This window comes from Homo sapiens, chromosome 5 (assembly GCF_000001405.40).
Source record: "Homo sapiens chromosome 5, GRCh38.p14 Primary Assembly".
Lineage (NCBI taxonomy): Eukaryota > Metazoa > Chordata > Mammalia > Primates > Hominidae > Homo > Homo sapiens.
In genome coordinates, this window is record NC_000005.10 from 77,060,524 (window position 1) to 77,070,889 (window position 10,366).

The 10,366-nt window shown below is 37.1% G+C and overlaps 1 protein-coding gene across 1 annotated transcript in view; it reads left to right on the forward strand.

Moving 5' to 3' along the window:
* The window catches only part of AGGF1 (angiogenic factor with G-patch and FHA domains 1), a 34,831-nt gene extending 30,120 nt beyond the window's left edge, over positions 1-4,711 (forward strand). The window contains exons 13-14 of the mRNA NM_018046.5: positions 1,180-1,279; positions 2,529-4,711. Of these exons, the coding sequence (NP_060516.2) occupies positions 1,180-1,279; positions 2,529-2,729 (301 nt within the window). The 3' untranslated portion in view covers positions 2,730-4,711. The remainder of the gene's footprint in view (positions 1-1,179; positions 1,280-2,528) is intronic.

Here is a 10,366-nt window from a genome sequence, read left to right on the forward strand (position 1 = left end):
TGTAATATGACCGTATTTCTGCATTTAATCAAATATTAGCTGCATTTTTTTCCTCAGAATATAAATTTTGAGTTTAGTTAAAATTTAAATTTTTCATGTAGAACTGATAACTAATTATAAAGTTTTGATTCAATATCATATTGCATTGACTCTAAGAGTTTTATGGTTACAAATGGCAACATTTTTTTCTTAATGGTGCATAAAATAATGGTGTACCTTAGAGTTGATGGAGTTTGATCCATTACCAACATTTTATTTGATGAAATATAGGATTACAAAGTAGGTACACTAAGCAACATGACACTTTTTTTAAGTTTAATGTTTAAAATATAATCTTGGAGAGTATAAAGAGTGCATTCAAATTAAATAAGACAAATTTAAAATAAAACACATTGGTTTGACATTGCTTGGTTATTAACTGAAGGGCTAACAGCATATTTTGTGGAACTGAAAAGATAGAACATAAAATACTCTTAAATTAGCAGAGTATAGAATCATAGGACAAAAATGCAAACTGATTAAGAAGTTTTATTTCAATTTGAACTTTTTAATATGTAACATGTACAGAAAATTACACAAATTATAAGTATATAGCTCAATGATACATCATAAGATTAACATATTGCAGAATACACATTTCTTGGACAAGAAATAGGAAATTATCAGTAACCCCAGAAGCTTATTCTCCCTGTGCCCCACCTAATCACTGTCCTGCTGTCCTCCCGAAAGGTAATCACCATCCTAACAGCAATAGATTAATTTCACTTATTTTAAAATTTTAATGAAATGGAACAATTCAGTATTTATTTTGTGTCTATATTTTTTGTGTTCCACATTATTTTGTTAGGTATGGTTTATTTTTATTGCTGAATAATATTCTACTGTATCACTATACCACAATTTATCCATTTTAATCATTGCCAGACATCTGGATCATTTCTGATTTGTTGCTATTAGATTTGCTGGAAGAACATTGTTGTATGTGTGTTTTGGTGCACATGCACATGCTTTTCTAAGTAGGATATGTACCAGTGGAATTTGTGTGTCTTCAACTTTGTTAGGTAATGCCAAGCGGTTTTCTAAAGTAGTTGTACCAATTACTTTTAATTCATGAATTTATTATAAATGTGACCTAAAAGATCTTTTATAAATCAACTATCATTTTAATATTCCTTAAAGTGAAATTACTGATAGCAACAAAGGTCGGAAGATGTTGGAGAAGATGGGTTGGAAGAAAGGAGAGGGCCTGGGGAAGGATGGTGGAGGAATGAAAACGCCGGTAAGACTTGGATTTTCTTTTATTCATTTATTCCTAGAGCAGACATTTACCGTGTACATTAATGTGCCAAACGTTGCCTTAAGTGCTAAGAATATAGTAGAAAGCAAAAGGAGACATGATTACTGCCTTTGTGGCATTCACAATTACCAAATATATACATGTGCTTTGTTTTGTGTTTTATATTTTTAGAAAGCCTCTTTTTGAGTTTTTTTCCCTACATTAAAGCTAGGGTGAGAAGTGCTGTTTCCTGAGCCAAAGGTTCTTCTGTGTTTTAGAGTCATTTTTAATAACTGTCAGAGCACTCAAGAACAATCACAGTGTTAGTTTACAAACAGGTGGATTGTGTATGAGCTGAAAAATCTGTTTGGTTCAAGAATCAGAGCATGTAACATGAAATATAGAGAATAATCTCTGGAAAATGACATAGTGGTTTAATTAATGGTCCCATGGTTCGTAGGAGGTTTAGGTTATCTTTCACACAAACCTTAATAAGTAACCTGACTGTAGAACTTTCTGGATAATGAACTTAGTACCTAAAGAAATAATAGATGGATCAGTGTGAGTATATACCAGCTTTCTCATTTTTTTTGAGGTACAGTGGAAAGAACAAGGATTTTGTAGTCAGACCTAGGTTAGAATATGTGCTCTATCATTTACTAGCTATGTGGCTTTGGGCAAGTTTGGACTTTAGTTTTCTTATGAAAAAATGGGGATAAGAACTCTTTTTCAGGGTTGTCTTGAAGATAAAGCCCCTAAGCATTGTACCTTACATTAGGCACTCAGTAAATGGTAGCTTTGAATGTTCTTAAAATATTGAGAAGTGCTCCCCTCCTGTTATGAAAACAATCAAATTCTTTTTATGGTTATTAATGTTTAACCTGCTTGTTCACTTACTTAGATAAGGATAGGACAGTGGGTTTAAACATATCCATTGCCTTTATTTCTGGTTAGGGTGGAATGACATACTCTGCAGCATCTAAATGAAATTTGGTGATTGCTAGTTAAGGAGCACTCTATTTTCTGTAAAGTAGGCTGTACTTATTGACAAGGCAAGACAACATAGAAAAATGAATGTAAGTTCCATGTATAAAGGTATATATATTCCTGTATGTATTTGATGCATCTGACAGGTTTTTCTTTTGCATCAATCTTTAATAAATCAAAAAATTGTAGAGTCCTAAGTTGGACACAGCAGATTTCAATGTGTTTAGACTCTAAAATAAGTCCTCTGCTCAACTTTTGGTAACAGATCCAGCTTCAGCTTCGGCGAACACATGCAGGCTTGGGGACAGGCAAACCATCCTCATTTGAAGATGTTCACCTTCTCCAAAACAAGAACAAAAAAAACTGGGACAAAGCACGAGAGCGGTTTACTGAAAACTTCCCAGAAACTAAGCCTCAAAAAGATGACCCAGGGACCATGCCTTGGGTAAAAGGGACTTTAGAGTGAAGGCTAATCATAGAAAAAAAACCTCTAGTTTTTTTAAAAATAGAATTTGGAAACTTATTTTTTCTCCCCAAAAGAATCAGCAGCACAGGGGAACTATGTCACAGTTTACCTCTTCCTGATTCAGAAATGTGTATGGTTTGCAGCTTTTAAAAACCATTTTTTTAAAACTAATAAATAGTGACTGAACCAATTTATGCAGTAAATAGACTAAAGTTCACAGGGCACGGATGAGTTTATCAAACTTCGTTATTTTATCTTGTCATTTACAACATCCATATAAGCAACTAGCCATATAAGCAAAATTCATAGAACTACTAATGACTTAAGTGTACATCTGTTCTTGTCTCCATATATTCATGTAAGATGCACAACAAAAGAAACATCAGAAGTTTATAAAAATAAATCTGACTATATGCATCCTCATTTATTCCCTTTAGAACCTAGGTAAAAAATGTTGCGAAAACATGGGTAGTGGCGCATACATTTTGTTATCCTTGAAATAGCCTAAGTAATGTTATTGAAGAACTAATGAACAGGTAACATATTGTAGAAAATTAGTCTTTCATTGTTTTCTTCTGTGAAGAATCTGTTGCTATGTACTGTATATTCAGCATTTATATTTGGTTTGTTTCATAGCTAATGAGGTATTTAGATATGAACAACTGAATACATATTGAAATAGTGTGCTGGCTTTTGTAGTTTTGATAAAGACCATTGCAGGCAATGGAATTGTGCCAGAGAAATCTGATTTCTAGTACAAAAGGAATACTTAGCCAGGGCCTCAAGCTCAAGATACTTATTGAAAACATCCTCAATTGCAATAAAAACATTATAACATGAAAAAGAGTGATTTTTTGAACCGGTGATTTAAATGTATTGATCTGCTTTGAATTTTCAAGCAGCCAGAATTTTCTAGTTTAAATTGGCAGAGTTATAACAAAGGAGAGCCTCAAATATTAGACAATTGCAGTGCGGCTTTCTGGGCACAGGTGTCACTGCTCTGCCACCTATCACTATTCTTTTTCTGTTCAGTTTTTCTCTCAGGTGTTTGCTGGGAAATTAACACTGGAACTGACCCTTTTCTGGCAGTGAATGTAAGCTCTAGCTCCCCCATCTACTATAAAGAAATGTCTTCGAGATGTAGAAATAAGGAATATTCTGAAAATAAAAATTATACAGTAGTAAAGATAATTCAGAAAGAAAAAGCTACCTGTTAGAATTTCCAGTCTAAATGGCACAGGGTAGTTACGGAGAAAAGGGGATGGAGAAGGAGAAACTATGACTAAAGATGAGAGGTATGAACGAGTTGTCAGGTTCCTATGGGCTTAAGCTAGGACAATCAGGCCCTAAACTCCAAATTTGGATAAAATATCTCTTTGCATTCTTCTTGGCCACCTGCATAGTCTGACACATACGTATGTACAGTTAGACTTGCAGGCTGCAGGAGTGCCCTGCATTGTTTTCTTTTAATTAGAAATAAAAAGTATTAGTCTAAATGTGGTTCTGGTGCTGGTGCCCTGTATATATGTAACAATATAGGACCCCTCCAAATAGGTTTTGCTTCTGGTGAATCTTGGTCATTGGGTTAGTATATGACTGTCTATAATATTTTCCATTTGTATTATTATATTGGGGAAAACATTTTTTATCATTTTCTATTAAGAAAATGGAAAACTTAAATATGGTGTTAAAAATGGAAATATATGTGATATTTGCATTATTAAACCCCTTTGCAGATCTAAAGTCTCAGGGTTCCACTATTAGTGGTTAAAGTACTGAATAATGTCTGGGTCTATTTCCATCTGTAAAATAAGAATATTTGTCTCACGTGTCTGTCATGAATAGCAAATGAGAAAATGTATATAAAAGCACTTTGTAAATTGTAAAAGTAGTACAGATGTGAGCTTCTATTTGTTTAGAAGCATAAATGTGAATTATATACAGTTTGAATTTTGCATAAATTTTTTGTGTCTAATTTTAAATATTTGTTTAATCACACTACACATTTTCTGAGTAGCGTTTAAGTATGTATTTTAAGTGGAGCTGCAAGTTCTGAATTTTAAGAAATCTAACATCTAATATTTTTGCCAGAACATAAGCTGGCAAAGTTGAGAACAGAAGAAACTTTCAACATTAGAGTAAAATAGAAATTTTTTCCAGTATTAAATAGAGGAAGCACCCTTATCCTCAAAAAGAGGAACTTTTTTCTGCTTTTGAAACAAGTGTTACTTCTGATGTGTCATTTTTATCCTGCATTTATAGAACGTAATGGTTTACGCAAATCAAAAACCTTCTGACTTTCCATAGAATATTTTTAATTTTTTATGATTTTTATTTATTTATTTTTTTGAGACAGAATCTTGCTCTGTTGCCCAGACTAGAATGCAGTGGTGCAATCTCAGCTCACTGCAACCTCAACCTCCTGGGTTCAAGCGATTTTCGTGCCTCAGCCTCCCAAGTAGCTGGATTACAGGTGCATGCCAACATGCCTGGCTAATGTTTGTATTTTTAGTAGAGATGGGGTTTCACCATGTTGGCCAGGCTGGACTCCAACTCCTGACCTCAGGTGATCTGCCTGCCTCAGCCTCCCAAAGTGCTGGGATTACAGGCGTGCGTGAGCCACCATGCCTGTCCAAAAGATTATTTCTTAATTTGACATATTTTTAAAGAGCAGGCAAAGAAGATAGAAATCTCAAACAAGGGAAAGCAAGAGACGTTGGAGATTGCATACGAAGGCCATTCTGTAAAGTTGCAGGACAGAGGGATGTCCTTGGCAGGGGGCAAGAAAGCACTTGTGGACCCAAAACTCAAAGGCAGTCTCAGGAACAGTTGAAAGTATTTTCCCCACCATCTTGTTGTAAGTGTGCTTCTTTTATTAGGGCATAACTTATATTTCTGCTCTGAATCTTTGATTCAAACATTTCATTTTACTTTTTCAGCCTTTAAAGTGGAAATGGATTTTGATTCTTTAAAATGAGGCAGTGGTTACTTATATTTCTGTGTGTTTCAGGGCCCAGGCTATCTCTTCTGCTTTTCTGTTTTACTAATCTTAGTGTTGGCTTATGGCCTTGTAGTTGCAAAATGGCTTTTGAAATTTCAGACATCATATTCATACCTAAAGCAAGAAGAAAGAAGAAAGAGCAGAGTGTAGTGTTAGTTCTCTTTTTTTAGGAAAACAACAGCTTACTCAGAAACTGACTTCTTAGGGTCATTAGCCAGAACCAGATAGCATGGCTACCCATAGAAGAGATGCTATAAAAGTGGGTAACAAGATGGTCACATTTGGCTTAAGCCAGTCATGAACCATCACCTGCAGCTGAGAATGTTGCCGTTGGAATGAAATAGGTTCAGTGAACCAAGCAGAAGGGGGCAGTGGATGTTGAATGGGCAGGTAGAGGTAACTGCCAGATAACGTACTTGTCCATCAGTGGGGACTACAGGGTTGCTTAAATTGTGATGCATCCCTACTATGTAATACTTTCTGGCCATTGAAATGAATAAGATAGAACTGTGTATACCCTAGTGTAGAAGAATATCTCACAAAGCAGATTGTAGCAAAGTATATATGGCATAATCCCATTTTTATTTTTAAATTACAAAGGTGTGTATTGAGTTGCTGATAACCCAGAGTGAGCAGACTTTCACATTTTATTATTTCTATATTTGAACTTTTAAAAAGTAAACAGGTGTGTGGTTAATGTGTATGTATATACACACTTGTGGTAAGAATTTACCCAGAAGTGGTTAAATTTGTGGTTAAGCCTTCATGGCTCAAACCCAGGCATTTTTCTCACATATATACCCAGTTTCACTTACCATCTATAAACTCATGACTTCTAGGCTGTCTTAGGTTATTGATTCTGAGCTTATGACTTACATATCCATCTCAGAGTCACTTTAAATGCAACTCCAAGACTAACTCCATAATCTTCTCCAAACCTAGTCTCTTCTAGTTTACTCTCTCCAGCTGGTAACACCATCCATCCAGTTGTGTGAGTCAGAAGCCTGAGTCAGCCTCTGTTTCACAACCACTAGCTTTTCTCCCCTTTGTCTGTTTCCAATATATTAAATCAGTTCACTGTTACCAGTCACCAAAATTATTCTGAGGGCTTCCTAACTGGTCTTCCTGCAGGCATTCTTTCCTCCATCTTCCACACTGCAGACAACTTCCATCTCATCGTCTCCTGTTTGGCTTCCCATTACTTTGAGGCCATAAAACAAACTCCAGGCCCATAAAACCCTAAGGGATCTGGCCACTGCCAGCTTTCCTGGTCTCATCTTTTGTCACTTTCCTACTTGTTCTCTGGGCCCTAGCATGCTGGCCCCTTTTTCAGTTTGTCAAACACAGCTGCCTTCTCTCATCACAGAGCCTCTTAACATTGTATTACATGTATGGAATGCTCTTCCTCCCCCATTTTACATAGTTAATTCTCACATAGTCTTCAGGTCTCTGCTGATTGAATCTTCAGGGATGCCTCCTTTGAAGCCCTGGACTAGATTAATTGCCTTTGATAAGTATTTTGAAAAACCATTTCTTTCATTTAGACCACTTAGCTTGGTTCACAGTTACATATTAGTGTGGTTAGTGTAATATTTCTCAGTTTCTCTAGATTGTTAAGTGCCATGTGAGCAGGACCTTGGGTATGCTTACTATTGCATCCGTAGAGCCTAGCACCACATCTGGTTTATACAACCATAGGCACTGAAGCACACAATGGGTAACTGCAAGTGGCTTGATGGAGTCTTATCAAGCTGTGACTGAAGAAACATGGGAACTGAGGCTACATAGAGGATCTACAACAATGGCTTTCAAACTATTTTGATGATGATCTACAATGTGAATACAATTTGTATTACAGTTCAGTACACGAGCATGTTCATAGCATATGTAACATAGATTTTGTATACCAGTACTTTGCCATAAGCTCATGTAATACACTCGTTTTCCACATCACTGATTGCATCCACTAAATTGCTTTCATAATGCACTAATGGGCTGTGTCCTACAATCAGATTTTCAAACCTTTTCAAAGAACCCATTGCATTGCCTTAGGAGCTGCAGCTGTGTGAGTCTATGTTTGTGTGATGAGGTGGGGAGAGTTTAGGATGCCAAACTGTGGTGACTCCAGTTCTCAGGCTCATTAACTACAATAGGTCTACATTCATCTGATTTGCAGTTCAAGCTTCCAGATAGGTTTGATTGCATAACAAAGAAGGGGTGAACAAAACCGAGCCTCTTACCTGTAGCCAAAACCGCATATTGTGTTGAGAAATTTACATAATTAAGAAATGAAGGATTTTATCTGTGAGACAATGAGGAATCCACTGAAGGATTTTAAGCAGGAAAGGAACCTCATTAGATTGCTTTATAGCAGAATAACTATGGTTGATTGAAAGGCAGAGTGGTGACTGGAAATCTTGAGTGTAGGTTGACCTCTTTGAGAGTTTGTTCAAATATTTATTGAGCATCCACCAAATGCTGTGCACATCTTGGAAGGCAGGAACCTTCTTTGTCTTATTCACTGCTCTGTCTTCAGCACCTAGCACAGGATTGGATGTTTGGGAGGTCCTCAATAAGCATTTGTTGGTGGAATGGATGGAATGCACATTTGTGTTGCATCTGGCACTGTGCTAGGCCCTTAACATACATTCTTTATTCTGGACACCATTTTATGAATTAGAAAACTGAGGCTTAAGAGGTTTTTATTTTGCTCAAAGTCAAAAAGCCGGTGTGACAGAAGTGGCAGGGCTGAGGTTTCTATCTTGATTCTTTCCATCCCACAGGGATGATTAAGAGCACAGGCTGAAGAGTCTGACTGAGCTGAGTTTAAATTAAAATTCTACCACTTCCAAGCTGAGTGACCTTTAAAAATTTATTTGAACCTCTCTACCCAAGTGTCTTCTATGGAGTTTGTAACTGCCCATCGGGTTCGCCTTGCCTGCTGCCCAGATAAAGCCGATTTATCAAGACAGGGGAATTGCAATAGAGAAAGAGTTTAATTCATGCAGAGCTGGCTAAGTGGGAGATGAGTTTTATTACTCAAATTGGTCTCCCTGAAAATGTGGAGACTGGGTTTTTTTTTTAAGGATAATTTGGCAGATGGGGGCTAGGATAGTGGGGAGTACTGATGGGTTTGGTCGGAGTTGAAATCATAGGGGGTCAAAGTGGGTTCTTCTTGCTGTCTTCTGTTCCTGGGTGAGCCAGGACTGGTTGAGCCAGATTATCAGTCTGGGTGGCTCCAGCTGGTGCATCAGAATGCAGGGTCTGAAAGATATCTCAACCACCAATCTTAGGTTTTACAATAGTGATTTTATCCCTAGGAGCAATTGGAGAGGTTCAAATCTTATGGCCTCTGGTTGCATAACTCCTAAACAATAATTTCTAATCTTGAGGCTAATTTGTTAGTCTTACAAAGGCAGTCTGGTCCCCAAGCAAGAAGGGGGTTTATTTCAAGAAAGGGTTGTTATCATCTTTGTTTTAAAGTTAAAATATAAACTAAGTTCCTCTAAAAGTTAGTTTGGTCTTTGCCGAGGAATGAACAAGGACAGCGTGGAGGATAGAAGCAAGACGGAGTCAGTTAGGTCAAATCTCTTTCACTGTCATAATTTTTGCAAAGGTGGTTTCAAGTTTTGGTGAAGATTAAATGAGATAAGGTTTGTGTGGCACTGAGCACACTGTCTGGTGCATAATAAGCCTCCAAATATTAGTGATTATTAGCATTGTTATTATCCATGCTAGCAATACCAAGGACATGGTTGTAGGAGTAGAATCCCAGAGTAGAGATGGTGGTTATGGAAGTCAGGTAGGATGAGGAATGAGGCTAGCAAGTAGTGGATGGGTCATCCTCATTCCACAAGGCAATAGGAGATAGATGTGGACAAGAAGACTGAGTCAGGAGCTGGCTTTCTAAGTGAATATTGGAGAATGAGGAGGAGATTGGTAGACAATAGTGAGAAAGGACAGAAGTTATTGTAGGTGACTCTCATCATCCTTAAAGGAGGAGGAATGGATTCTACATGACTTTGGAAATGGAGTCGTCTGGAGGAATGATAGGGAGATGTAGCCAGGCAACCCTGGCTCTCAGTACTCTATGGGAGCATGAGAGCTACAGGGAGAATTCCAAGAAGTAGATTTCCGGTCCCCATATGTAAAAATCTTTCAACAGCATACATTAATTCAGCAAATAGCCATGAAGCACGTAGCATAGGCCAGGCACTGTTCTAGGCACTAGGGATACAACAGTGAATAAAACAGTCAAGGCTCCCTGCCTTCATGGAGCTTACATTTATTTTTAGATAGGATTTGGCAGAATGTAAGGCCCAAGTAATACATGCAGGCCTTGATAGTTCCAGAGAGTATTAATCCAAAATAGTTTCTGTTCATTCCAAAGTCTTAAAGCCAACATTTTAAAGCAAAAATTTGGGTGGAGTGTGTGACGCGGGAAGGATTTGGGGCTTTTTTCTTAATGTTCTCAGACTGTTTCTAAACCAGATCTATTTAGGGGAATCTTATAAACTGTGCTTTCAAAATCTTTTTAGTCATGTGTTTGAGAGTTCTGGGTATGTAGACAACAGACCTCATTGAGGCTGCAGCCCCTTGTTCAATTATGTATCTCCTCTACCTGAGAATAATAACT